At 62.7% G+C, this 26,697-nt stretch overlaps 2 protein-coding genes and 1 long non-coding RNA gene across 13 annotated transcripts, besides 10 other annotated features; all 3 read left to right on the plus strand.

Moving 5' to 3' along the window:
* On the plus strand, positions 6,233-11,970 carry SYT8 (synaptotagmin 8). Of its 9 annotated transcripts, none has more exons than XM_011520455.2 (9): positions 6,233-6,345; positions 9,543-9,648; positions 9,745-9,908; positions 10,335-10,433; positions 10,575-10,733; positions 10,874-11,041; positions 11,205-11,310; positions 11,406-11,539; positions 11,641-11,970. In XM_011520455.2, the coding sequence occupies exons 2-9, from the start codon at positions 9,555-9,557 to the stop codon at positions 11,878-11,880; spliced, it is 1,164 nt and encodes a 387-aa protein (XP_011518757.2). In that variant the 5' UTR covers positions 6,233-6,345; positions 9,543-9,554; the 3' UTR covers positions 11,881-11,970. The 9 variants fall into 9 exon arrangements, with proteins under 9 accessions (XP_011518757.2, XP_016874017.2, XP_011518758.2 ...); XM_017018528.2 differs by having other exon boundaries at positions 9,546-9,648; NM_001290332.2 differs by lacking the exon at positions 6,233-6,345 and adding an exon at positions 8,876-9,066.
* Positions 6,968-7,177: a silencer, noted in NCBI's record as "silent region_3059". NCBI's record gives its function as "represses an Ori minimal core promoter by ATAC-STARR-seq in GM12878 lymphoblastoid cells {active_cell/tissue: GM12878}" and the evidence as "EXISTENCE:reporter gene assay evidence [ECO:0000049][PMID:35858748]".
* Positions 7,238-7,297: a silencer, noted in NCBI's record as "silent region_3060". NCBI's record gives its function as "represses an Ori minimal core promoter by ATAC-STARR-seq in GM12878 lymphoblastoid cells {active_cell/tissue: GM12878}" and the evidence as "EXISTENCE:reporter gene assay evidence [ECO:0000049][PMID:35858748]".
* Positions 7,400-8,015: an enhancer, noted in NCBI's record as "H3K4me1 hESC enhancer chr11:1854181-1854796 (GRCh37/hg19 assembly coordinates)". NCBI's record gives its function as "activates a minimal SCP1, AML or CMV promoter by ChIP-STARR-seq in naive and primed H9 embryonic stem cells {active_cell/tissue: H9 hESC(naive and primed)}" and the evidence as "EXISTENCE:reporter gene assay evidence [ECO:0000049][PMID:30033119]".
* Positions 8,016-8,629: an enhancer, noted in NCBI's record as "H3K4me1 hESC enhancer chr11:1854797-1855410 (GRCh37/hg19 assembly coordinates)". NCBI's record gives its function as "activates a minimal SCP1, AML or CMV promoter by ChIP-STARR-seq in primed H9 embryonic stem cells {active_cell/tissue: H9 hESC(primed)}" and the evidence as "EXISTENCE:reporter gene assay evidence [ECO:0000049][PMID:30033119]".
* Positions 12,264-12,373: a silencer, noted in NCBI's record as "silent region_3061". NCBI's record gives its function as "represses an Ori minimal core promoter by ATAC-STARR-seq in GM12878 lymphoblastoid cells {active_cell/tissue: GM12878}" and the evidence as "EXISTENCE:reporter gene assay evidence [ECO:0000049][PMID:35858748]".
* Positions 13,430-16,127, plus strand: TNNI2 (troponin I2, fast skeletal type). Of its 3 annotated transcripts, none has more exons than NM_003282.4 (8): positions 13,430-13,482; positions 14,124-14,153; positions 14,298-14,304; positions 14,852-14,893; positions 14,977-15,105; positions 15,268-15,357; positions 15,480-15,656; positions 15,905-16,127. In NM_003282.4, the coding sequence occupies exons 2-8, from the start codon at positions 14,146-14,148 to the stop codon at positions 15,998-16,000; spliced, it is 549 nt and encodes a 182-aa protein (NP_003273.1). In that variant the 5' UTR covers positions 13,430-13,482; positions 14,124-14,145; the 3' UTR covers positions 16,001-16,127. The 3 variants fall into 3 exon arrangements, with proteins under 3 accessions (NP_003273.1, NP_001139301.1, NP_001139313.1); NM_001145829.2 differs by lacking the exon at positions 13,430-13,482 and adding an exon at positions 13,918-13,976; NM_001145841.2 differs by lacking the exons at positions 13,430-13,482; positions 14,124-14,153; positions 14,298-14,304 and adding an exon at positions 14,656-14,687.
* Positions 14,586-14,705: a silencer, noted in NCBI's record as "silent region_3062". NCBI's record gives its function as "represses an Ori minimal core promoter by ATAC-STARR-seq in GM12878 lymphoblastoid cells {active_cell/tissue: GM12878}" and the evidence as "EXISTENCE:reporter gene assay evidence [ECO:0000049][PMID:35858748]".
* Positions 14,746-14,865: a silencer, noted in NCBI's record as "silent region_3063". NCBI's record gives its function as "represses an Ori minimal core promoter by ATAC-STARR-seq in GM12878 lymphoblastoid cells {active_cell/tissue: GM12878}" and the evidence as "EXISTENCE:reporter gene assay evidence [ECO:0000049][PMID:35858748]".
* On the plus strand, positions 18,786-22,196 carry LOC107984299 (uncharacterized). The gene is made up of 3 exons (XR_001748095.2): positions 18,786-18,822; positions 19,182-19,279; positions 21,013-22,196. It is a non-coding gene; the product is annotated as an uncharacterized LOC107984299 (long non-coding RNA).
* Positions 19,069-19,168: an enhancer, noted in NCBI's record as "active region_4290". NCBI's record gives its function as "activates an Ori minimal core promoter by ATAC-STARR-seq in GM12878 lymphoblastoid cells {active_cell/tissue: GM12878}" and the evidence as "EXISTENCE:reporter gene assay evidence [ECO:0000049][PMID:35858748]".
* Positions 23,931-24,917: an enhancer, noted in NCBI's record as "H3K4me1 hESC enhancer chr11:1870712-1871698 (GRCh37/hg19 assembly coordinates)". NCBI's record gives its function as "activates a minimal SCP1, AML or CMV promoter by ChIP-STARR-seq in naive H9 embryonic stem cells {active_cell/tissue: H9 hESC(naive)}" and the evidence as "EXISTENCE:reporter gene assay evidence [ECO:0000049][PMID:30033119]".
* Positions 26,264-26,313: an enhancer, noted in NCBI's record as "active region_4291". NCBI's record gives its function as "activates an Ori minimal core promoter by ATAC-STARR-seq in GM12878 lymphoblastoid cells {active_cell/tissue: GM12878}" and the evidence as "EXISTENCE:reporter gene assay evidence [ECO:0000049][PMID:35858748]".

Below are 26,697 nucleotides of genomic sequence, written 5' to 3' on the forward strand. Positions count from 1 at the left end.
GCCCCGACCCGCATCACAGATGCACCAAGCCTGCTCGAGGGCAGTGGGAGAAGTGCGGCCCTCAGGATGCCACGTGCTCCAGGCCCGAAACCCTCTGGCTGGAGGGGCCCTCTGGAACTGCAGGGAGGACTCTGTAGCCAGGGTGGGGCTGGGGGCCGTGGGTGACCCTGGCTCCTTCCTTATTCTCTGAGCCCAGCAGCCACTTACTTGGACTCCTGTGTCACACAACCCTTGCCCCAGGTCTGCCCGCAGTGACACCCGCACACAGTGGGGCCTGCACGCAGTGATGTCTGCACACAGTGATGCCTGCACACAGTGGGGCCTGCCCGCAGTGATGTCTGCACACAGTGATGCCTGCATGCAGTGACACCTACACGCAGTGGGCCTGCCCGCAGTGATGCCTGTACGCAGTGGGGCCTGCACGCAGTGGGCCTGCCCACAGTGACGTCTGCACGCAGTGACGTCTGCCCACAGTGGGGCCTGCACGCAGTGACGCCTACATGCAGTGATGCCTGTACGCAGTGACGTCTGCCCACAGTGGGGCCTGCACGCAGGGCGTTTGCTCACGGCAGGTGCGTGCATGGTGGAGGCGGTGCCGCGGGGCTTTGGTCCAGCCTGGTCAAGGTGTGGAAAAGCCCCCGTCGCACCTGCAAGTCCCCCACCTGCTTGAAGGGAGCTCCTGGCTCATCCTACCAGGAACCCCGGGGGGCTCCGAAAGCCAAACCTCTGGTCTGCCCCTGAGCTGGGGGTGCCTGGAGAGTGTGGGGCCAGCAGCCGTGGGAACGAGGCTGGAATCCCGAGCAAGTAGAAAGGGGGCGGGGCAGGGAGGATGCAGCACCAGGACAGGTGGGGGCCCCGGGGCTCTCCAACCTGGGGGTCAACTGCGACTTCCGGGTCCTAAGTGTGGGGACCCCACAGGGTGGGACCCACTGCCCTCCTATCCAGGGATACAAACCACCCTGCCCACCACAGAGCCTGAATTAGGCCTCCTCTTCTTCCCCAGAAAACCTGAACAGCCCCCCATCCACCTCCCAGAGAGCCCAGACGGCCCCTGCGTATCCCATAGCCTGCCCGCTCATCTCTCCCACGGGGGCCCTGGTGGGTAGGACCCAGCTCGCACTCACACAGGGCTTGGAAAGCTGGGGCAGCTCCAGGGTGACCCCAGGAATCCCCAGGACAGGAGACATTGCATGCACACCACGTCATTTTCTGACCTCCAGGGAGCGCACTGCCAGGAAACTTGGGAGGCTGAGCGAAGGGCCTTCCCGCAAAGAGTCAGAGTGGGTGGGGGCGCGGGTTTCAATGGGCTCCAATGGGCTCCCTCCCTGGGCCACAGCCTCACAGCACCCAGCGTCCCAGCCAGGTTTGGAGCAGGGGCAGGGGTCTGCAGCCCCCAGAGGTGTCACACCCCTACTGCCTGCCTCTGTCCCCCACTTCTCTGGCCTTGGGACCCTGTCCCAAGGCGATGCTGACACATCTGACAGCCAGGCCGCCATGTGTCCCAGCCCGGGCAGCCAGTGGGTGGGTGGCCAAGGCAGCCTGGGCAGGAAATGGCAACGCGGTGGAGGGCCCTGGAACATTCCTCCAGCCTGCACACTCGCTGGTCCCTCTGGCAGCTGGTCCAGGACATGCCTCTGTCGGGGACTGGGCTCCCACACCCCGACACCCCCTGCTCTCCAGGCCCCTGTGTGTACAGGGAAGGCTTTGAGCACACGGCTCCAAACTGTGGGTCCCCATTCTCCCCTCGTGCCCCACCTAGGTCAGTCCCTGCGTCTGCCCCCACTCGGTGCTGCTAGTGCCAGCAGTATGAGGGTTTGCATTGGCTTTTGGCCAAACCCTGGAATGTGCCTGCTGGCTGCACGGCAGCTGTTCTTGGAACAGGGCGACAATGCACAGACTGTCTCTGAGACGTGGGCGGATGGGGTGCAGACTGCCCGGAGCTGCGCATGAACCCAGGCCCCGAGACAAGGGTGAATGGGCTCACACAGGCCGAGACACCGGTGAATGGTGTCCAAAGATGCAGCAGGACCTGGAACCGGCACTGGGGGCCCTCAGCCTGGGACTCGGCCTGTGTGAGGTGCGGGGCACAGGTGGCTGACGGCACACACTGCTAAGAACCCCTGATGAATGGGGAGCAGAGCACCCCAATACTCAGACTCACGGGGACACGTGGTCCAGATGCTCAGGAGGGGTGTATGAGCGACGGCACCCTGATTCCAGATGGGCATCTACAGTCACAGGCAAAGGGCATGTCGCTGGCTGTGCAGGGTCGTGGGGGGACAAGGCACCCAATTTTAGGGTCAGTGGGGTTCATGTCTCTCAGATGCTTCTGGGATTGTGAGGACTTCAGGCCTCTGAGGAAGGGGCACAAACCCCTGGAGGCTTAGGTGATGAAGCTGAGAATTCGTGAATAGGGCACAGGGGTGTCTGGACAGGGATGAATGTAGCTCCCACGGCCGAGACAGCCGCTGATGAAAGGGCAGCAGGCGTCCAAAGAAACAGGGGAACTTGGAACTGGCACTGGGGCCCTCGACCTGGGATATGCATCTGCGTTCGAGGCAGGCAGTGGGGGTTAGGCTGCTGAAGACCCTGACGGACAGGGTACAAGGCATCAAAGCCCTCAAGCAGCTAGAGAAGAGGGGGGCTCGAGGGCTTGGAATGTGGGTGCACAGCTCCCGACGCTGCAGGGGGCGAGGTAAGCCGTCGCACAGAGGGTTGGGGTGGAGCGTCCCGAGACCCGAAAACCCAGGGCAGAGTGCCCGTCAGGGTGATGGTTGAAGTCCTCACTACTCAGATGGTCGGAGGAGGGGGTAGGACACCCAGTCAGCTGCCGGACACTCAGGTAAGGAGGTACTGGAGCCAAACTGTCTGAGTGACTGGGTCTGCAGGACCTGAACCTTCACAATAAGAGGGCCCCCTGCAGTGGGACCAGAAGGGAGGGTGTGTGTCCAGACACGTGGGTGAATAAGGGCTATGCTTTCTGTCCTCAGGGGACTGGGGGCACCTTTGCAGATGTGTGCAATATCACCCACACTCTCAGAGGATTCCAGACACACACCACTCAGAAATGTGGGCTAGGAGCACCCGCTGCACCTGCGCTGAGAGAGCTGCAGAAAGGGTTACCAGCCCCTCGGGTGGAAGGAGACAGCCGGAGCTCTCAGGGTAAGATAACCTCACTTCTGACATATAGGGCACCACGACATTCAGAGTCCTGGGATCCACGCTGCCCAGATACTCAGACAAGTGGGGTATCAGGGCCCGTTTCTCTGTCATCCAGGTATTCGAGTGATTAGCGTTCCGGCTCCAGAACTGTCAAGAGGGCGGATGGACAGAAACTTGCCCAAGCCTCCAAGCAATGGGGTCCAGAGACCCAGACGCTCAGGCTGATGAGTGCAGGAACCCACACACTGACAGTAATGGGGTCCAGAGACCCAGATGCTCAGGCTGATGGGGACAGGAACCCACACACTGACACCAATGGAGTACAGGGCTCTAGGTATTTAGAATAATGGGGTACACGTGTCTAGATGTCAGTGAATTGAGGTGGAAGCTCAGCTCCTCAGAGGCACATTACAGAGCCATGGGAATGAGCAGCTCTCAGACAGGGCAGACACGAGGGCAGAGGAGGTGCACCCAGCAGTGAGATGCCTGGAGCACAGGACGTCCAAAACCACAGGAATGAGGCACCAGGCTCCCGGCCCTGGGCTGACACCCAGGCTTAAGTACCATGTGTCATGGGGGATTCAGAGGGTTCAACAGGTGGGGGGCACGCTGTCGTGGCACCCTGGTGACAACAGGAGACCAAGGAGGGGCAGGTCACCTGGCCCTGGGCATGAGGGAGGGGGCTGCACAGGCACTCAGGTCCCCAAGCTGTGTCTCCCAGGCACTCTCAGGCGTGGGGTGTAAAGATGCTGATGCCAGGGTTCCCCATGAACACAGACCCCCCTAAACAAGGTAAATGGGGTCCACACAAAAGTTGTGGGGGATCAGGCCCCTGCCATGAGGTCCCCAAGGCCCTTGGGAGATGAGGTCAATGCGGGGAGGACCGGGAGAACCCCCGTCCTCTGACATGGTGGCTGCAGTACCAGCCATTTGAGGAGTGGGTTACATGCCCCCAGACTTCCAGGTGACGGGGGTGGCCACCCAGACACTTCAAGACATGGGGTTTTCATCACCAAAATCCAGATGCAGATTCTCAGAGGATAGGAACTGAGCCCATGGAATCAGCACCAGCCATGTTCAGAGGGTGCAGACCCCCATGCCCAAGACGGAGCAGAGCCTCCCAGAGGCTCGGTGATGGGGTGCAGCCTCCACGGAGGCTCGATGATGGGGTGCAGCCTCTCTGGAGGCTCAGGTCATGGGGTACAGCCTCCCCGGAGGCTCAGGTCATGGGATGCAGCCTCCCAGAGGCTCGGTGATGGGGTGCAGCCTCCCCAGAGGCTCAGGTCATGGGGTGCAGCCTCCTCCCAGAGGCTCGGTGATGGGGTGCAGCCTCCCCAGAGGCTCAGGTCATGGGGTGCAGCCTCCCCAGATGCCTGGTTGATGGGGTACAGCCTCCCGGGATGAAGAGGCACAGACAGTATGCATGAAAGGTGAGTGTGGCACACACAAGCTAAGACACAGAGAATGGGCATAGGGCATCCCAAAGCACAGAGAACTGTGGCAAGCTGAGTTCCCCCATCCCCGGCCATCCCGGGCCCCAGCTGATGAGGGTGCCCCAGCCCTGCAGGGCTCAGCAGCTGGGGTCAGAGTGGGTGGGGCAAACACGCGCTCACCCAGCACACTTTTCTTTGTGTGCCAGTGACTCCTGGCTCCCCAGAGCCAGCGCTTGCTTTGCAGTCCAACCTCAAGCATTCCCCAGGCGACCTCAGAGGAAGCGTCCCCATCCAGGAGCCCCACCAGGGTCTCCATGAGGCTGCTGGCTGCCAAGCCACCGTCTCGGGGCCTCGGGACTGGCCTCGGGCTCCAGCTCTGTTTGGTTTTCTCCTTCCTGCCCTGGAACCTCAGACGCCAGTCTGGCTGTGAAGGCGCCCATATACTGGGGAAAGTACAAAGCCCCTACACAGCTGGCTGCAGAGAACCGCGCGCAGGGCACGTAGCTCAGCTGTACCCTGGGGCCAGCGTCGAGCCACCCCCTGCATGTGTCCCCTTGCTTGCCTAAAAGCCCCACTAGGGCAGCCTCTGGCCCTTCTCATCCCAGATTGAGTCAGACTAGGAGACAGACCCATACCCTGTGCAAACACCAGAAGGACGTACAAGTCCCCACACGCCCAGGGCCGCGTGTGACCGGACGGGCCCAGACGTGCACATGCATGCCCACACGTCCTCCTGCTGTGGCCCGAAAGCATCCTCGGAGCCTGGGCTATGTCCTCCACACTTGCTGCCTGACCAGCCCCGTGGGGCCGGCCCCGCTGGGACAGGTTTTCCCGTTAAGCATTAACCACCAGCAGATAAGGGCTCTGAGGGAACGCCCTGACCTGGGATGGCTGCTCCTCGGTAGGCCCAAGTCATGGATCTGACTAGAGTGACCAGACCAGACTAACTGGCAGAGCAGAGGGAGAGGAGCTTAGGCTATAGGCTCTGCTCGGGGGTCCAACTGAAGCAAGAGGCACTGAGGTTAGACCAGAGTGAGGACTTCCAGCCACTCACCCGGGGGCCAGCTGATAAGAGGATCACTCATTAGGAAACCAAGAACTCAAGGGATTGGGTCAGCCCAGCAGGAGACAAAGGCACAGAGGGGAATGGCCCGAAGGTGCCTGGGGCTGGAAGCAGAGGCAGTGGCGGAGCCAAGCCGGCCCACCTGGCTCTCTGTGAGCCCCCTGCCCCACACTGCCCAGGGCAGCCCCCGCCCGGCCCCTACCCTCCTCACACTTGGTTCCCCCCAGCCCACAGCACCTGAGGATGCCCTCTTCCAAGCCAGGCAGCCCTGCACCTCAGGACCCCTCCCCGTCGTGCAGAACCTGCTCAAACCAGGTTCAGCCAGGCCACCTCCTGCTGCCCCTCACCAAGGCCAGCCTGACGGGCCCATCGCCCCCTCCTGCAAAGCTAGGTAGGGCTCAGGGTGCCCCCAGCCCCAAGGGACCCTTGGAAATAGGCTGGAGCCCAGATGCTCAGCCTCTGCGTCTTGGGGAGACCTTCCTCCCAAAGGGAGTTGCCCAGCTATCACGGGCCAGCAGTTCCGGCCACAAGGTGGGGTTCCTGCAGCCCTGGCCCCCGCACCCCCTCCTACCCCAGGAGAGAGTTCCCCGTCACCAGAGGCAGTGCTGTCCGAGAGCTGGACCCGCCTTCGGGTGTCTGAGAGGAAGGCCTGGTGGCTGGCCGGCCACAGGAAGTGGTGGGCGTCAGGTGAGAGCATTTACACCTGGGGGGCTGCCAGCCCCAGCACTCGGGGAAACGTTGCTTTTCCAGAGGAAGGGCTCACGGAAAGGTGTTCCCACGGAAGCAGAAACCATTCCGTATAGACTCACCCTGGAGGGAAGCATTAGCAAGCCTGAAATGGTGCCCGCCTTGGGCTAACATGAAGTCTAAAGGAGGGGCTCACCCCCGTTCTGCCTGGTGGGGGCTGGGGGCCCTAACGGGGTGGAATTCAGCACAAAACGTCATGGCAGGTCTGGGGGTCCTGGGGTGACCAGGGAGGGTTCCCTGGAAGAGGTGGGCTCACGCTGGCCTTGGAGGGTGAGTCGGATGGGGATGCGGAGAGGCCTTCTAAGCAGCTTGGCAGCTGCAGGAGCAGAGCAGCCGCCTTCGTGGGGAGAGAGGAGCCGGTTTCCAGAGCCTTAAGGAGCCCGCTGGAGCGGTGGCCAGGGGGGAGCCGGGGAGGAGGGACCGTCTCCCTTTCCTGGGAAAACATGGCGTGAACTCCCAGAGAAGGTTTTCCCAGCAGGGCCACAGGAGACAGACAGCCAAAGCTAGACAACGGGGAGAGCAGCCCCGGGAGGCTCAGGCAGGGAGGGCGGGGGATTCCCAGATCTGGGAGGGGAGACCCGAGAGCCCCCAGCGCCCAAGGGTCTCCAGGGCACTGTCCCCGGGAGCCATGAGGGAGGCCGGGTCCCGAGGGGCGGACGGCGCCACCTGGTGGCCATGCGCCCGCTGCACCTGCACCTCCCTGGGGTCCCGGCGGTCCGGAGGGACCCCGCACCTCCCCAGGCTTTGGGACCCCCAGCATCGGCAGCCAGCGCCCCCAGGGTCCTGGGGTTCTCCGGAGCAGCTTCTGGGTGGCCCCTGTGCTCCTCTGGGGACAAGGTCACCAGGCTGGCCCGGGAGTGCCGCTGGCCGGCCGCGGCAAATCACTGCAGGGGAGCTCTCCCCGCCCGGCCCTGACTGTTCTTAGACTAAAGGAGGGGGGACGCCAGCAAAGCGGGGGCACAGGGGAGGGGCGCACGCACACGCACACGCACACATGCCCGCACTCACAGATGGAGATTCTGTATTGGCAACTTATCCGGAATCTCAACCATAAAAATCTGGAGTGAAGCTACTTTAATCTCAGCATGTATACAGGCTCTGACATTTCAAAAAGAGAAGTTGCCTTGAAACTCCACGTAGGGAGGAGGCAGTGGCCTGTTTGAATCTGGCCGGCACAGTCCCGCTCCAGGGACCCTGCGGACCCAGCCCATTCCATCAGCCACCACCAGTAGGAGCGCTCCGCCAGCCACGTGTGGGACGCCGGACCCACCTGGGAGTGTCCCCCAGGAGCTGAGGGGCTGCCGAGGCCCGTGAGCTTCACTGCACACCCACACTGCATCTGCAGGGGACTCACCCAAAGGGTCCCCCGAACTCGACAAGCTCCGTCATTTGTGAGGCCCAGTGCAGAATGAAAATGTGCAGCATCTTGTTCCAAAATTAAGAATTTCAAGATGGCCCCAGCACGCATTAAACCAAGCAGGGACCCCTCTGAGCATGGGGCCCTGCGCACAGGGTGCAGCCTGGAAAGCTGGCCCTGACCTCCGCATCTCCTTTTTGTACCTATAATCCCTCCATTGTGCTGGCCCCTGTGTTCTGGGGACAGGCTGGGCTTCCCAGGCCATGCTGGCCTCCAGAGCCACAAAACTAGAGCTCCCAGCCTCGGTCCACTCGTCTGTAAAACACCTGGCCTGCTGACCTCACAGGGTCAACATGCGTGTGGGGCTGGAACCTGGACCCTCCCTCCCCTCCTTGAGCTGCAGCCCCCTCATCTGAACACTGGGGGTTTGGGTCCGTTCTGGGAGTGCAGCTGCCTCTCCCAGCCTGCCAGGGAGTGGGGCATTGATGCTGTGTGCGCGTGCGTGTGTGTGTGTGTGTGTGTGTGTGTGTGTGTGTGTGTGTGTGTGTGTCTGGAGTCATGGCAGGGTCCCTTTCTGTCTGTCTCCTTGCTCTGCCCCAGACTGGGGGGCTGCAGAGGTGAGGGTATCTGGCCTCAACAGCTGCTTATTCCCGATGGGATGGCCTGGGCTGGGCCCCTGAGGCCAGGCTGACTTGGACATGGCAAGAGGGGTCCCAGGCTCTTGTGGGCAAAGCAGGGGAGGCGCCAATGTGGAGGAACAGAGTCTCCTGGCTGGCTGCTGCTCTCTGGAGCGGGTGGAGTCAGGGAAGAGCTGAGCTGGGGAGTCACCCTGGGCCTGGGGTCACCGTAGGCCCCATGTAGCACCCTGGTTCCCCTGCCTGTAGGTGACAGGAGCCAGCCCAGCCAGGTGTGCTCCCTCCCCAGGCCCTAGGCAGGCGGGTACAGGGGCCAGCAGCTGCGCCCGCCCCACCTTCCTTCCCACCCACATGCCGAAGGGTGGCCAGGCAGGCAGGTGGACGAGTCCAGGCAGCGGCTGAGTCAGTGTGTGTGGAATGTTCTGGCCGCTCCCAGCTGCACCCTGCCCCTACCTGCCACCACCTCACCTTCATCCTCAGGCGCTGCGGCCCTGAGCCCCTGCCAGGAATGCACCTTTAGCCCAGGCCTGCTCAGTGAGCTCCGCCGACAGCCAGCCCTGCTCCTCCCGCCATGACCCTGCAGACCCCTCTGGGCTTCCAAGTTCCTGGGGGCTGCAGTGAACATGCTCCACCTGCATGGCTGGCAAACCATGGTGGGCCCCAGCTGTGGTGCGTGCTGGGGTAGAGGCAAGGAAGTGATGGGACCGCAGAGATGAGACCCCCAGGGATGAGATGGGACCCCCAGGCAGGGCCCAGGGTCCAGGGCCCAGGAGAGAGAAGCAGGGAGGGAGAGAGCTTCCTGGTGGAGGACGCATCCTACAGTGGGGGCAAGGGTGCTCTGAGGTCCGGTGAAGGCAGGGACTAGGCTGCCCAGGCCCTGCCTGCTTGGCTGGGGCTGGGGGCTGCTGGGAGGTGGCTGGGAGGCTGGGCCTGGGCAGCTAAGCTGGAGCTTTGGCCAGGGTCCAGAGCCTCCCTCCCTTCAGCTTCCTGCTGCACAGAACCCTCGCCCCTGGCCACCCCGTGCTGCCTCCTTGCCCTGGCAGACCCAGCACTGGCTGCTGCTAGTCAGATGGGGTAGCGGGCAGGGGCCGGAGGGGCCACCCTCCCAGCTGACCCAGCCTCCTGGGCCGCTTCTTCCAAACCAGCAGGGTAGAAAGATGGGGCACCCACCAGTCTCTCCCAGTGCCCCGGCCCCAGCTGGCACCACAGCTATACCTGGGCTTATTCCAGACCTTGTCGCCGGGACCCCCTGTGAGTTGTGGGATTCCCAAGAGGGGTGTGGGGATAACCCAGCCAAGTGGGGGCTGCAGCTGTCCACAGATGCACTCAGCCTGGCCTCTACCCCAGGGCCCCGCTGGGCTCTCATTGCCGGCGCCCTTGCCGCGGGCGTCCTCCTCGTCTCCTGCCTCCTCTGTGCTGCCTGCTGCTGCTGCCGCCGCCACAGGAAGAAGCCCAGGGACAAGGAGTCCGTGGGTCTGGGCAGTGCCCGCGGCACCACCACCACCCACCTGGTGAGGAGCGGCTCCTTGCTCACTCAGTCCAGAGAGGGCTTGAAATCCAGGCTCCAGAGCCCAGGGCAGCGAGGCGAGTTCAGCCCCAGGGATGGTTTAACCCCCACAGAGGCAGGGCGTTGAGGACCTTCCTGGCAGGGAAAGTGGGTGAACAGAGGTGAGAAGGAGGCCATGCAACAGGGGCTGCCCCATGGGCCCGAGGGAGCCACAGCGGGTTCTTGAGGAAGGCAGGGGGTACCCCAGATGCCACGTTTTGGGTGGGTTTGGCCGGTCTCACAGAGCGAAGCCGACGATTTGTGCCTGTTGGGTGGCCTGGCCTGGAGGCGGGGGGTCTTGACCCATGTCATGCAAGGGCTGCCCGGGAGCCCAGGGCTCTGATGAGGCATGATGTCAGCACCACCTGCCCCTTGTCCCAACTCACTCCAGGTGCAACCTGATGTGGATGGCCTGGAGTCCAGCCCGGGGGATGCTCAGCAATGGGGGTGCCTGCAGCTCTCCCTGGAGTTCGACTTTGGAAGCCAGGAGGTGAAGGGCCCCGCTGCGCAGGACCAGCGGTTCTGCGAGTTTCCGGAAAGGGTGACGGGGGAAGGGCAGACCCCATGCCCTGGGTGGTGGGGAGCTGACAGGGCAGGGGCCCTTGGCTGAGCCCACCCCGCTGGCTCCCAGATCAGGGTGGGCCTGAGGCAGGCAGCCGACCTGAGGCCTGGGGGCACCGTGGACCCCTATGCCCGGGTCAGCGTCTCCACCCAGGCCGGACACAGACATGAGACAAAAGTGCACCGAGGCACGCTCTGCCCCGTGTTTGACGAGACCTGCTGCTTCCACGTGAGTCAGGGATGGTCGGCTGGGTGGGCCTGGACGGCTGGATGGGCCTGGGCTGGGTGGGCCTGGGCAGCTGGGTGGGCCTGGGCAGCTGGGTGGGCCTGAGCTAGGGCAGCAGGGCCTGGCTCACGCCGCTGCCTCAGATCCCGCAGGCGGAGCTGCCAGGGGCCACCCTGCAGGTGCAGCTTTTCAACTTCAAGCGCTTCTCGGGGCATGAGCCCCTGGGTGAGCTCCGTCTGCCACTGGGCACCGTGGATCTGCAGCATGTTCTGGAGCACTGGTACCTGCTGGGCCCGCCGGCTGCCACTCAGGTGAGGTGCTGGTCACCAGGCCACAGCCCAAGGCAGAGCTGGCAGGGACCCTGCCCTATGGGCCATCGGAAAGACAGGCCTGATGGGCAGCATTTTCGGGGGTCTGAGCCCCAACTCGGCCAGAATCACCCTCCCGGGCTGAAGCCCCTCTTGCTGCCCACAGCCCGAGCAGGTCGGGGAGCTGTGCTTCTCTCTCCGGTACGTGCCCAGCTCAGGCCGGCTGACCGTGGTGGTGCTGGAGGCTCGAGGCCTGCGTCCAGGACTTGCAGGTGAGGGTCACACCTGCCCACGTTGTTGTACAGAGGGGGGGCCCGTGCTCAGCCCCGAGCCCTGGGATGCCCCTTCGGCAACCTTGCCCTCCCAGAGCCCTACGTGAAGGTCCAGCTCATGCTGAACCAGAGGAAGTGGAAGAAGAGAAAGACAGCCACCAAAAAGGGCACGGCGGCCCCCTACTTCAATGAGGCCTTCACCTTCCTGGTGCCCTTCAGCCAGGTCCAGGTGGGCCACCGGGAGGCAGGGGCAGAGCGAGACCCAGTGCCAGACCACGATGACTGTGGTCTTTCTCCCCCAACTCCAACCTCTGGCCTGTCTCTGCACAGAATGTGGACCTGGTGCTGGCTGTCTGGGACCGCAGCCTGCCGCTCCGAACTGAGCCCGTAGGCAAGGTGCACCTGGGTGCCCGGGCCTCGGGGCAGCCCCTGCAGCACTGGGCAGACATGCTGGCCCACGCCCGGCGGCCCATTGCCCAGCGGCACCCCCTGCGGCCAGCCAGGGAGGTGGACCGCATGCTGGCCCTGCAGCCCCGCCTTCGCCTGCGCCTGCCCTTGCCCCACTCCTGAATGCACCACATGCCTCTGTCTCCCCGCTGAGCCCAGGCACTTGCCCAGGCCGCCCTGCAGGACCACTGCAATAAACGCCTTCTCCTGCCACTGTGTGTCCGGCTGGAGCCTGGAGGGGATGCAGAAATAGGGCCCGGGCCCGCTCACCAGGGTCCCCTGACAAGGACGGGGGAGGGGCTCCTCTCCAGACTCAGCCAGGCCCTGAGGCCTCTGACCGGTCCCTGCTTGACCCTCGGGTAGGGGTGGGGAACCTCCCCGGGGAGCACAGATCTCCCCTCTCCGGGCCGCCTGGGAAGACCGGGGAGGTGGGGGCCAGAGAGTCGGGACCACATGGGATGGGGCGGGCTAGAGCCAGCCCTGTAGGGACAGAGTGGGCAATGGTGTCTGGGGGCTGGTGAGCATGGAGGGAGGACCCCCAACACCTCAGAGACCTGTGCTGCAGGGCCTTCCCTGCATGAGCAGCAGGGGGCAGCAGATGCCTTCGGAAGCCGCTGGGGCCTTTAGGGGCTCAGTCCTGGCCGGATGCCCCTCCCAGTCCCCACACATCTGGGCTGCCTTAGCGGCTGGGGCCTCCACGCTGCTGTCTCCTCTGATCCTCCCCACGGGGCTGCGAAGCCGGCAGGGCTGGGGCCAAGAGCCCCCACTCCGAGAGGGTGCCAAGTCACGGTCCAGGGGACCTCTGCAGGGCGGGGGCCTGGGGGCTGGGGGGGCGATGGCCTCGGGCCTGGGTGAAAAGGGCAATGCCAGGCCTGCCCGGGCAGCCAGGAGGGCCCCAAGCCCCCACGGGTGTGAGAGGCTCCCAATGCAGGTGGCGCCATTCTCCTTAGGTTGAAGGATGTGTTCCAAGTCGCCCGGCAAGGGGACTGCAGCAGGGCGTTCTGGGCAGGCGGGAGGGGCCCAGAGGCACGTGCGGCGTGCCCCTCACTCCTGGTCCTGCTCCCCAGGCAGGAAGATAGCATCACGCAGGGAGGGGGCAGCCCCCAGCCCTCGGCCACTGTGGCAGGGCCCAGAAGGCCACATCTGGAGGTCCAGGCCTCACCCCAGAAGCCAGGCTTGCAGAAGGGGGTCAGGCCTGGGCTGAAGTGGGAAACCCATTGCAGGGGCTGAGCCGGGGAGCTGGCCCCGCAGGGAGAGGCTGTGGCTGTCGCCAGCAAGCAGCCAGGTTGGTGGACTGGACGCTGACCTCGGGTGAGATGGGCTGAGGCGAGGTGTGGATACTCGCAGCTACCCCTCAGCTGACCCGAGCTGTGTGCCCGGCTGAGGCCACAGGCAAAGCCAGGGACACTGTCCTCAGGCTCCTTACGAGAACGACAGAGGCATCTCCAGCGCGTCACCGAGCCCTAAATAGAGTAGCCCAGCCACGGCACCCCCCACCAAGACTTCTTGGACTGGGCGGCAGCACGCGGCCAGGCCAGGCGGCCGGACAGGTGGGGAGGTCTCTGTGGCTCTCCACGCCCCCATTGGTCTGAGGAGGACTCTATGCCCTTTCTGAGCAGGGGCCCAGCCTGGGGGAGGCCATTTATACCCCTCCCCCTGGGCCCACCAGCCCAACTCGCCGCTGCCGGCCTGACCTCGCTCCCAGCCCTGCTGCCCAGATTCTAGGTGAGGCCCAGCCCGGCCCGCCGAGGCCGGGGGACAGGGCGTGGCTCGAGCTGGTTTGAGGGAGGACTTCCTGGGGCGGGGGTCTGGGGGCCTGGGGGATGCCACCAGCAGCCCCCTTTGGGGCCTGCACGGGTCCGGGAGTGAGAAGGAGAGGCTTTGGGGAGGCAGCTGTAGCGAGAGGCAGGTATTAGACACTCCCTGACCACCAGGCTTCACCTCTGGGGACCCTGGAAGGAGAGTTTAGGGGTCAAGAAGCCCCAGAACCTGAGCCCCCAGGCCAAACTGAGGAGGGATTTCTTCCATGCACTTAGGCCCAAAGCCAAAGAGAGAGGGTTAAAAATAACAGCGTCACTCAGGCGGCCACCTGCGCTGGCCCATCCCACCCTCCCTCGGGGACAGCTGCAGCTCCTCAGGCTATGCCTGGGACATTTTGGGAACACTTTCTCCTCTTACTTCTCACCCTGGGGAATTCCAAGACATTGTCCTTGAAGGAGGTGAGAGTAGGGGGAGGAGGTGAGAGTAGGGGGTGGGCGGGAGGGGGCTGTCATCAGGAGCCCTGAACCCCTCACCACCTACCTGATGGGCACAGGCATCACGGTGGCAAGGGCCTGGCCAACACCTCTGTCTTCCTCTCCCCACAGGCTCCAAGCTCAGGACCTCAGGATGGGAGAGTAAGTGGTACCCCTGTACCCCCATACAGTGACCCTGCCCACCTCCTGCCCTGTCCACCCCATCACACACTCCGACCCCGCCAGCCATGGCCCTAACCTCTGTCTTCTCTCCCCGTCCTGCCTGCGTCCTCCCTCCCTGGACAGTGAGGAGGTAAGTAGTTGCTGGGGGCTCAAAACATGACGAGGAGGGGGCTCCCCCAACTCAGCATAGGTCATAGGTCACAGCCTCAAGGCCCTAAGGCCCAGAGAAGATGGCCTGGCCCTCCCCGCTGGCAAAAGTGCCCCACCCACCCACCAAGACGCTGCTGAAAGAGAGGAAGTGGCTGCCCCAAGCCTTCTGGGGCAGGGGAAGTGTGGCTGTGGCCTGGTCACAGGGGAATCACTTCTTCTTTCTGATTCCTGCACTTCCCGCCCCCACCTCACCGGCCGACCTGCCCCCAACTGGCCCTCCTCTCCCCCAGCCTCTGGCCTCCCAGCACCATGTGCCACCTGGCAAAGTGTCACACACCACACAGCACCATGTCCCAGTGCAAGGTCTGGGGCCAGGGAGGCCCAGCCTGCCCATCATGGCCTCAGGAGCCCCCAGGCTCTGCTGGTCCCGGAGCCGGAGCCCCTGACCTGGCCAGGGAGCGTGGAAGGGGGTGGGGGTGCTCCAGGCCTGGAGGCCCTGACTCGACCCCCTGTCCCCTGCCCTGCAGAAGCGGAACAGGGCCATCACGGCCCGCAGGCAGCACCTGAAGGTAGGTGTGGGCTCCCGGGGGGGTGGCCCAGGTGGGTCTGCAGGGGAGCTGGCTGCAGCCCCTCACCGCCTGCCCCACCGCAGAGTGTGATGCTGCAGATAGCGGCCACGGAGCTGGAGAAGGAGGAGAGCCGCCGTGAGGCAGAGAAGCAGAACTACCTGGCGGAGCACTGCCCGCCGCTGCATATCCCGGGCTCCATGTCTGAAGTGCAGGTACCAGCCCCTCCCCGGCCACCCCGCCTCCCCAGCAGCAGGCCTGCCTGCTAACTCAGTTTCCCCACTTGTCAAGAGGGCCAGTGGGGTGGTCAGGGCAGGGGCAGGTGACCGTGGCTGCCAAGTGTCAGGACGGCCGCCCGCCCCCACACCCACCCCTAGGAGCTCTGCAAACAGCTGCACGCCAAGATCGATGCGGCTGAAGAGGAGAAGTACGACATGGAGGTGAGGGTGCAGAAGACCAGCAAGGAGGTGAGTGGTGGCGGCGGGCCGGCGGCAGGCGGGTAGGCGGTGGCCCAGCGGGCAGGCGGGGCGGGCCGGGGAGGCCGAGACCACCGGGACCTCGGGCTCCCACCCGGCTCCCCTGCCCACAGCTGGAGGACATGAACCAGAAGCTATTTGATCTGCGGGGCAAGTTCAAGCGGCCCCCACTGCGGAGGGTGCGCATGTCGGCCGATGCCATGCTCAAGGCCCTGCTGGGCTCGAAGCACAAGGTGTGCATGGACCTGAGGGCCAACCTGAAGCAGGTCAAGAAGGAGGACACAGAGAAGGTGCGTGCCACGGGGGGAGCACCACCACACCTACCCTGCCGGGGAAGCACCTCCCACACCTGCCCCGCCTGGGGACCACCTCCCACACCTGCCCTGCCGGGGGCCCTGTACCACTGCCCCTCCAGGGTGCCATGCAGGGGACACTCCACTGCCCAATGCAGAGGGTAAACTGAGGCTGAAGGTGGTGTGGACCAGGGTGCGTGCATAAGTGGGTGAGCCTGAGCTCTCTCCTGCCCTCTCCTCCACAGGAGCGGGACCTGCGAGACGTGGGTGACTGGAGGAAGAACATCGAGGAGAAGTCTGGCATGGAGGGCCGGAAGAAGATGTTTGAGTCCGAGTCCTAGGCCACTCGCTGCCCCTACGCCTGCCCCGGTGCCCGGCTCCCAGCAGAACATACTAGGGAGATGCACCCAGAGCCTGCCAGGGAGGGCTGGCCTCACCACCACCGTCAATAAAGGATTTGAATCCCCATGGCTGGTCTGGTCTGGCTCTCCCCAGCCTCTTGGGCCATGCTCTGGGCCCCCGCATCGGTGGCCTGCAGTGTGGTCAGTGGCCAGCGGGGAAAGCCTGGGAGGAGGCCACACGGGGCCTGGGATTTCAGGTTGGGAGGGAAGCTGCTTCCAGCAAGGAGGTGAGCCTGGGAAGGCCCCTACAGGGGAATCCACCCCAGGCTGCACGGGGCTGTTTGGTGAGGGCCCTGATAGTGCCCCAGGCGTTCCTGGGGCTCGGCCTGGGCACATCCAACATGCAGGGCTGGGGATGGAGGCTGTGGGACCGAGCCAGGTCTGGGTGGGAGTTCCTGAGATAAGTGGGTCTCACATTTGCACAGCCACGCAAAGGCCCTCCCGGGGCTCCAGAGAGATCCACACATGTGACACACGTGTGGCCCCCGCAGTGCTGGGGGCAGCCCCCTATGCCTCCCAAGCTGCCCCTCCTCAGGGAGCTCATCTGAGGCAGGAAGCCAAGGGCCACATTAGACCCCAGGCTGCTGTCCACGCGTGCCCACCCCCAGATCCTCCTGCTCATCCCCCTCCCACATCACTTTGGGACAGACCCCCAGCCCCGGGGCCTCCCTGCTTTTCCTATCTGCCCCCTGCCCTGAGCACTGAGGCTGGGCACGGGGAGCGTGGAGGGGCGAGCCTGCACGGTGGGCCATGACCAGGCCAAATTGGCAGTCTCCGGGCTGGGGACCAGCATGGTGCTGGGGGTTGGCCAGCCTGGTCTCTGGTCCTTACTGCCACCCTGAAAGGCAGGCTGTGTCACTCCTCACCATGCCAGGGGACCAAGAGACCTGTGCCCATCAGGCAGGGGCTAGGCCTGGCCCTGACCTGGCTCCAGTGTGGCTCCCAAGTCTCGTTTCCACTCAGCCCCAAGACCCAGCCCCATCTGGCCACCAAGGACAAGGCAGCTGACAGGTTCTGACAAGGCCGGTGACAGCAAGGCCACGTTATCAGCCCTGCTCTTTGAAGGCTGACAGAGCAGGCACGCCAAGGTCCCTGTGCTCAGATCTGCGCTGGGGAGGCTGCCAGCCTGCGCTGTGCCCTTGCCCCCGGGAGGTCCCATCGATTGATCTGCCGGAGGTGGACGTGCAGCGGCAGTTCCGCCTCGGGCTGCCTTGAGGGACTGACGTCAGTGGGCTCCCGGGACGGCCTTGGCTGTGTGCAGTCCCCTGCTTCCCGGGTACCCTACAGCCCTGGCACTCAGCTCTGACCTTTTCTGTAGCTGGAGCCCCACGCCAGTCCGAACCCCCCACCCGGGCCTTCTCCTTTAGCCTTCTGTAGGGGAAGGCACCGAGCAGGGCAGCTTGGGGCCAAGGGGGCACTGCCTGGTGGGTGCAGCTGTGGCAGAGGTGCATGGCACCCCATGCCAGAATGATGGGACCAGGCAAGGCCCAGGGTGTAGGAGGCCATGAGGCACAGAAGTGAGGCCCGAGACCTGGCCTGTCGGGGGGAAGCTGCCCAAGCCCAAGCCTCAGCTGAGACCTGAGGGAGGACAAGTGTGGAGGCAGAGGGTGCTGCAGGCTGGAGCACGTCCCATGCAGAGCCAGGCAGGCAACAGGCAGAGCGAGGGACAGGCGGCGGTGGGGCCTGGCCATGGACCCCTTGCAGGGGACATGGCACCTTTCCAGAGCCTGTGCCTACTGGGAAAGGGGGCGGGACCCAATCCCACAGGGCGTCAGGGGGGTGTGGCAGAGGAGTTGGGGCAGGCGCATCACACCTGGCTGCCAACCACAAGATTCAACTTGGCCGGGGCAGACACGCTGTGTGGGAAAATTATCTTTTTTATTTCAAAGCAAGGAAATGTTGAACACAAACACGAAATTCCAAAGAGTGACCCTCTGGGGTGAGTGGGGTGGGGGCAGAGCAGGGGCAGAATGGAGACAGGACCCCTACGCTGATGCAGGTTTGGGGGATGTTTTAATTCTTGGGCTGGATAGTAGATGCACGGGTGTTTGTTAAATTTCCAATAGATGAGTGAATGAGTAAATGAAGGAGTAAGTGAGAGGCCTGCGGAAAGCAAACCAGCAAATATCAAACCGGCGCCCCTCTGAGCCCGGCTCCGTCCCTCTCGGGTGATTCTGGTGTCCCTGCTGGAAGTGAGGCCTGCAGCCAGTACCCCATGGGGCTGTCCCCCAGCTCTGCATTCTAGAAAGGCCTCAGCAGGGTGGAGCACAGCGGAAGTCACCGCTGGGTTGGGGGGTGAGGAATGGAGACGTGGAAGGGGCCGGGTCCCCAGGACTTGTTGGCTGAGGGACATGAGGAAGGCAGGCACCTTGCTGGGGGCACGGGTGGGCAGAGACTGTTCTCCAGGGCAGGAGCCGTGAGAAAGTGGCCTTGGGAGGAGGTGAGGCACTCACTTTGGGGCTGCTGGGTTTGGGGGCCCTGTGGAAATTCCGAGGGGAGACCTGGCCCAGGCAGCTGGAGCAGGGGCTGGGCTGGAGATGTGGATGTGGGTGTCCTGGGTGGTGAGCCGATGGGCAGAGGTGCCTAAGGCCAGGGCGAGAGGAGACGAGGGGGAGGGTAGGGACAGCCAGGGCAGCCGGGGCAGGCACCATGAGCCCCAGGGGAGTCCCGGAAGAGGAGGGGGACAGGCCCAGGGCAGGGGTTGTGGGCAGCCCTGTGCGTGGCTCTGGAGGTCGGGGAGGACATGGCCTCTGAAGTCCCAGGTAACCCGTGCTGGGCTGTGGCCAGGAAGGGGTTGGGGAAGACTGGGCACAGCGGGCCAAGGAGGGAGGGGTGGGAGGAAGTGCACGGGGCACCCCTGGAAGTTGCGGCTGCTGGAGACAGAAGGCAGGGGTTCCTCGGGGGAGGCAGAGGTGGGTGCTTCTGCACACGCGGGTGTTTCCTGCTCTGCCGCTGAGCCACTGACATGCAGACACCCCAGTGTCCAGGAGCAAACCGGGCCCCAGGCTCTGCTCCCTAAAACCGTCCTCCCCTGAAGGACCCAGGGCTCCTCGGAAGAGAGGTTGACTGCAGGGTGGGGCAGGAAACGTGCAGGAAGAGCCTGACATGTCCTTTCTGCTAGGAGGCCGTGGTGACGCAGAGGGCCTGCCCTGTGCCCCCGCTGATGGGAGCGGCCATCAGGACACAGACCGGCAGACAAGATAACAAGCAGTGTCCGCGGTAAATGTGCTCAAGTTCATAGTTACACAAAACAACATCTGCATTCCAAGGAAACAGACCTTAAAATCTTCAGGAGGAAAGGAGGGAGACAGAGAGACAGAGAGACAGAGGCAGAGAGACAGAGACAGAGACAAACAGAGACAGAGAGACACAGAGACAGAGACACAGAGACAGAGACAGAGAGACAGAGACAGAGACACAGAGACAGAGACACAGAGAGACATGGAGACAGAGACAGACAGAGGGACACAGAGACAGAGACAGAGAGACACACAGAGAAAGACAGAGAGATGGAGAGACACAGAAACACATAGAGAGAAACACAAAGAGAGACAAAGAGGCAGAGAGAGGGCAAGAGACAGAGGGACACAGAGACACAGAGGCAGAGAGGCAGAGAGACAGAGACAGAGGCAGAGAGAGAGACAGAGACAGAGAGACAAGAGACATAAAGACAGACACAGAGGCACAGAGGCAGAGAGGCAGAGGCAGAGACAGAGAAGCAGAGAGACAAAGGCACAGAGGCAGAGAGACACAGACAGAGGCAGAGACAGAGAAGCAGAGAGACAAAGACACAGAGGCAGAGAGACACGGACAGAAGCAGAGAGAAAGAGACAGAGGCTCAGAGAAACAGAGAGGCTGAGAGGCGGAGAGGCAGGGGTCGAATGGCAAAGTGGACATGTGCCCTGGGTGAGGGGGGTACAGAGGCACCTTGTCAAATTCTTATTCTTGAAACTTCTCTGTGGGTTTGAAATGACTTCCCCCAAAGCTAAACTTTTCTTTGAACGTTAAAGCAATACAATTCGTAAGCGACAACAAAAACAGATGACATGAAAAATACCACAAGTTAACAGAGAGGACCTCACAGGGCTCAGGTGTGGGCAGAAAGGTGCCCCAGAGGGTGTGGGGGACTTCGGGGTGGTGGAGGAGGCTGAGGACTGTGTGTGTGCCCCTGGCTGAGGGCCGAGGGCGGGGCTGGGTGCCAGGCCCCCGGGGACACCTTGGTTAGGGTTAGGGTTAGGGTTAGGGCCAGGGATCCAAGGCTGGAAAGTTGCCTTTCAGGGACTGCAGGAGGGAGGCCCGGTGCCCTGGCCATGCTGGGCGCTGGGTGGAGCTAGGATGAGGCAGGTCACGGGGCTTCATTCTCTCCGCAGGGCTGGACTCAGAGGGGGCTTCCCCCTGACCTTCACCCCCTCACGCACTCGATCAAGGGGAAGCCAGGAGTGGGGTCCCAGAGGGGGACACAGAGTTCCCCCATGAATGTCCACCTGCTGGACCCCCTGTGTGGTCCTCAGGGGTTCCCTGGGCCTCCACCGAGGGGCCCCCGGATCAGGGCTGGGCTTCACCCTCTCTCTCCAGCTGCACCTCACCCCTGACCTGTGCAGCCCTGTGTCCTTTTTGTTCCCCTGGCACCGGCTGTGCCTGGGCCCAGACCCACCTTTGCAGGCCGGTGCCTGGCTCCAGCCATCCTTGGAAAGCTGAGTCCGGCGCTTGCCAGGGCCTCACCACCCCCACTCCTCCGGCTCCGGCTCTCCCCAGACAGCCCTGGAGCCCAGGGTTAGAGCTGCCTCTGTGGCTCAGCCCCCACTCCACCCCAGTGGGCTGCCCAGCCTTAGTTTACCCAGATGTACAATGAACATGGAGATGAGAGCGCCTGCCTCACTGGACCACCAGGTAGGCAGGGACCCAGCTGGCACCTCCTGCCTCCCTAAACTCCTCTCCTATGTGCCCCCCAGAGTCAGCCCGACTCTCCCCCAGCCCCAGCAAGGCCTGGCTCGGCGCCCTGGACCACCCAGCTGCTGAATATCACACCAGGACCACCAAGCCTGCCTCTGCCCCAGGCCTGGAAGCTTCTCCCCACTCTCCCTGTGGCCATCTCCTTCACACCCTTCAGTTCCAGCATGGTCACCTCCTCCGTGAAGCCCTCCGTGAGTCCCCCAGCCATCTCTGTGACTTCTCCTGGTTATTTTCCAGAATGACCATGGACTTGTTTTTTCATTTGTTCACTGTCCGTCTCTTCCTCTGGGAGGGAAAATCCACGAAGTCAGGGACCTGGAGTTATTTGCAGCTGTGTCAGTGCTGCTGGGGCGAGGCATACACCTGTGACGGGACCTCAGGACGGGGACACGGGTCTGCATGAGGATTGTCTAACAGTCCCTACAAGACGCTGGGGCCACCATGTACACTGGAGTCCTCTGGCAGCCAGTGTTCCCCGTTGTGCGGGGCTGGCCGTGACCACGCTGGAAACCCCCCGATCCCCTTGTTGCTCCTGCCCTCCTGCAAGCACCTCCGCCGCCTCGACAAGCACAGCCTGGCCCCAGGGCCTCTCCCTCCCCTGGCCCCAGTCACCCCTACCTCCTCACCACCCCCTGTCATCTCCCATTGCTCCCCCTCCTTGCCAAGCTGCTCCTGACTCCCTGTCCCCTCCTCGAGCCATCGGGAAGGCCTGCGTCCTGGCAGGCTCCAGTCTCTGCGGCTGCCCCTCCGGCAGGCCGCCGAGAATCAGCGCGGCATTGGGCCAGGCACGGTTTCCACGAGCTTCCTCCTTCTGATCCTCCCCTCCGCCCCCCCCACCAAGCTCCCCAAAATCTCTCACTCACACCCCAAATCACCTGGGCCCCCCACCTCAAACCAGAGGCCATCGGGGCAGAACCCAGCAATTGTCACCGCCCTCTCACGAAGCGTCCCGTGCCCCCCGGAGCACATGTCCACAGCGAGGCCCTTCACGGCTCTCAGATCAGCTCCCCGCCTGCAGGTCCCAGCCGGCCCTGCTGTCGCTGCAGGTTGAGCTTCTCATGAGTGAAGGCCCCGGTCACTCTGACGCCGCCAAATAGTGGAGACAACACCAAGCTCTAAAGATTTTCAAAGGGAGAGAGACAAAAAAAAATGAAGGCCAGGTGTGGTGGCTCACACCTTTAATCCCAGCACTTTGGGAGGCTGCGTGGGGAGCCTCGAGCTCAGGAGTTCGGGACCAGCCTGGGCAACAAAGTGTCTCTACAAAACAATATGAAAATTAACCGGGTGTGGTGGTGTATGTCTGTGGTCCCAGCTAGGGAGGTAGAGCTAGGCTGAGGCAAGAGGACTGCTTGAGCCCGGGAGGCAGAGGTTGCAGTCAGCCCAGATCACGCCTCTGCACTCCATCCTGGGCAGCAGAGCAAGACTCCATCTCAAAAAATAAAAGCTTTGAGAATTTAAAGAAAGAAAAAAAGAAGAAGAAGGCCAGGCTGATGACTCACGCCTGTAATCTCAGGATTTGGGAAGACCAAGGTGGGCGGATCACTTGAGGCCAGGAGTTTGAGACCAGCCTGGGCAACATAGCAAAACCCTATCTCTACAAATTAAAAAAAAAAAATAAAGTAAAAACTAAAAGCAAACAAAATAAATAGCCAAGCTCTCCGACCCAAGGCCTTTTGTGCCGACCGACGCCCATCTTCTCTGACCTGGCCCATGTCTCTTTGCGCCTGCTGGAGAGCTTCTTCCACTCTCAGCTGGCCCTGAACCCTGGGCTCCCCCAGTACTGCCTCCCCACCCCGCCTGGCCTGTCCGCTCTGCTAGGGGCAGCTGTCTGGTCACTGCCCTCTCCTGGCATCCCTCCGATCCACCCGGCCCCCTCGAAGCCTTCCCTGCCCCTTTCCTGTCTGTCTCTGTCCCCGTTGAGAGCTTCTCTTCCTCACTCTCTTCACTCCTGGGCCAGATTCCCAAGCTCACCAGTGGCCACGGCCAGTGGAAGGAAAGGGGCCGAGTGACCCCAGCTCGCGTGCAGGGAGAGGGCACAGCCCCCAGCTTTGCTCCCCACAGCAAACCCCTCCAGCACCTGCGTGTGCCCACAGAGTGATTTGCCAGGGAGGGGCGCTGCGGGATGGCCTGTACTGCGGGACGTCCTTTCCAGCCCATGGTGCCAGCACACAGCATCTCCTGCCCAGGCCTCTCCCTGCTCGGCTGGGACTTCTACACGCACCTCCAGCCTGCTACACAGGTCCCAACCCCCGGCTTCTCCCCTCAAATCCAGGTCTGCACCTCTCAGACATCTGCCTTGTGGCCTCTGCACCTGGAGTGTCCCTGTGTCCTGCCCGCCTGGCACAGAGCTCCTCCTGGCTCACCCCTCAAGGCTTCCCTGCTTGGCTCCATCCCCCGGAATCTGATGCCCTCAGCTGGCTCCATCCCAGAATCCAAACTAACTCATCACCTGATGCAGCCGCTTGCTGGTCCCCGTGCTGCTCGCTGGACCCTGCACCAGATTTGGAGACAGGACAACGGAGGGGCCGGGGTCTGCCCTCCACACACCTCCCTTAGAGTTTCAGGCACTGAGGGAAGAAATGATTCTGCATCTGATTCTTGGGTAGACTCTTAGCTCTTCAGAGGAAGGCTCTGTTCCTGTTTAACCTCCCACCCAGCAAGGCCCACACCGTTCTCAAACACGCATGCACTGCCCGGGTGCAGTGGTTCATGCTTGTACTCCCAGCACTATGGGAGGCTGAGACAGGAGGATGGTTTGAGCCCAGGAGTTCAAGACCAGCCTGGGAAACATGGTGAGACCCCATCTGTACACACAAAAAATTTTTTAATTAGCTGGGCGTGGTGGTATGTACCTGTGATCCCAGTTATTTGGGAGGCTGAGGCGGGAGGATCACTTGAGCCGAGGAGGTAGAGGCTGCAGTAAGCCCTGGTTGCACCACTGCACTCCAGCCTGGGTGACAGAGCAAGACCCTGTCACACACGCTCGTGCGCACACACACACACACACACACACACAGAAATGCCCGGACGGCCTGAGGGGTGGCTGGGCCCTCACTGGGGACACCTCCTCCCTTGCCCACGCCTGCCAGTCCAGGCTGAGTGGAGAGAAGGGCTGGAGGCAGGGGCTTGGCCAGGGAGGGAAGGAGTGAGAAGCGGGCGGCCACATGGGCTGGGCAGCCTCCGGGATGCTCTTTGCTTTTGTTTTTTTGTGAAAAGGTTGAGTGATTTGCACATCAACGTGGAGGGTGTAGGGAGGAGAGGCTGGGGGACCGGGAGGAAGGTGGATGGGCCGCAAGATGGCCCTGGCGTCTGCGGAGGAGTAGCTGAGTGAGAGAGCAAGAGTCTGCCTTCTCCACGACGGTGATGTGGGCAGGAGAGAGGGCTGGACGGCCACAGGAGGACACCCTGCACCCTGGCTTCCCTTTCCTCTGCGATTCGGGAGGTGAGGGCGTACATCTGCTGAGAAGGCCTCCCAGAGCCCCGTGAGCATCCTGGAGTGTGCCTATTCCTCGGCCTGGGTTCCTTGAGAACAGGCAGGGCTCCCCCACGCCGTGGCCTGCTTGTGAGACGTGTCGCTGGAGGGGTTGTCCTGCTGCCCTGTGGCTGCCGTGACGTTGAGCTCCCACATTCTGGAAGTCCGAGATCCTGGGGTGGGCAGGACTGGTTCTCCTGAGGCCTCTCCCACTGCTGGGGGTCCCGGTGCCCCTTGGTGCAACTGTCTTGTGGATGCCTCACCCTCATCTCCACTGTCTTCTCATGGGGAGCTCCCCACCGTGGGTGTCTGTGTCCCGTGTCCACATTTCCTCTTTTTTTTTTTTTTTTTTTTTGAGACAGAGTCTCACTCTGTCACCCAGGCTGGAGTGCAGTGGCATGATCTCAGCTCACTGCAATATCCGCCTCCCGGGTTCACGCCATTCTCCTTCCTCAGCCTCCCAAGTAGCTGAGACTATAGGCACATGCCACCATGCCCGGCTAATTTTTTTTTTTTTTGTATTTTTAGTAGAGATGGGGTTCCACCGTGTTAGCCAGGATGGTCTTGATCTCCTGAGCTCGTGATCTGCCCGCCTCGGCCTCCCAAAATGCTGGGATTGCAGGCGTGAGCCACCGTGCCTGGCTCACATTTCCTCTTTTTGTAAGGAAACCAGTCACACTGGCTGAGCGGTCACCCTCCTCCACCGTGACCTCATCCAGCTAATGACACCTGAAGCAACTCCGCTTCCAAACACGGTCACGCTCTGAGGGGTTAGGCTAGGGGTAGGGTTAGAACTTCACCATATGAATGTGGGTGAGGGGCATGATTCAGCTTCAACAGGGTTGGGTAGGCAGAGGGGAGGAGGGCACACTCTCCAAGCCCTTGGGGCAGGCCGATCGTCACCCCAGCCTTCAGCTCCAGGGCCTGTGGGCCTCCCCCTCCGCCCGAGCGGCTTCGTAGACCTGGGGCTGAGTGTGGTTTTGTGCTCTGTGTCTCCCTCTTGAAATTCTTAGGGTTTTTTTGTTTTTGTTTTGTTTTGTTTGAGATGGAGTCTAGCTCTGTCGCCCAGGCTGAAGTGCAGTGGCACGATCTTGGCTCACCGCAAACTCCGCCTCCCAAGTTCAAGCGATTCTCCTACCTCAGCTTCCCGAGTAGCTGGGCTTACAGCCGCCCGCCACCACGCCTGGCTGATTTTTATATTTTTAGTAGAGATGGGGTTTCACCATGTTGGCCAGGCTGGTGTCAAACTCCTGACCTCAAGTGATCCACCTGCCTCGGGCTCCCAAAGTGCTGGGATTACAGGTGTGAGCCACCGCACCCGGCCAAAATTCTCAGTTTTTGAACCACAGGGTTCTGCATTCTCATTTTGCTCTAGCTCCAAAAGTGAGGCAGCCGGTCCAGCCTTCGGGCAGTAGAGGGCAGGAGGGGGTGGACCCCAGCCTCCACCTGCCTGTCCTCTTCCTGGCAAGGTTCCTGAAGCTCCCAGCGACGATGCTGGGGCTGCCCTTCTGCAGGCCAAGGGAAGGACCTCAAGGGCAGGAGGACACAGGCATTGCACCTGCCGATGCAGTGCCTGGACGGGTGGGTGAGCGGAATGGCTGCAACCTGGAGGCGAGACCCTACCACCATGAGGGGAGCCGTTTCAGGATGGCCTCAGGATGGAGGCCGCATGGTGAGAACCGCAGGGCTCTGCCATGTGCCACTCTGCAAGGGGGACTTGGGGGCCCTTAGGGACCCCCAGGGAGGAGGCGTGGGGAAGACACAGGCATGGCCTGTTCATCTCCATGGCGCTGGGCCTGATCTGGTTTTAGCCCTGCCCATCGTCTGGGCCACGGATCCCTCTGGTGCCTCCACTCGTGGGGCTCTGAAAGCCTCTGCTGGTCTTTGTGGTGTGTTTGGTGGGTGGGGGGCTCGCTGAGTCCCAAGGAGGCGGCCTCCGGTTCGGCCCCACCCTGATGGGTCAACACTCTGGGCCCAGGGCCCTCCCAACCCCTGGCCTCTCTCCAGCCCCTCTTTGCCTTGGGACCCCCTGTAAGTCCTTGCTGGTTGGATTTCTCAGGCCCAGCCGCTGGCCAGGGCTCCCTTCTCCCATTCTCCTGCGCTGAGGTTTCCAGCAGGGAAGCCTTCGCCACCTCTGTGGCTGCCCTACTCTGGCCCAGCTTAAGTCCTCCCCTGCCTCAGCTTTTGGGGTCTGGCTCCTGCAGTCATGCAT

This window comes from Homo sapiens, chromosome 11 (genome assembly GCF_000001405.40).
Source record: "Homo sapiens chromosome 11, GRCh38.p14 Primary Assembly".
Classification (NCBI taxonomy): Eukaryota; Metazoa; Chordata; class Mammalia; order Primates; family Hominidae; genus Homo; species Homo sapiens.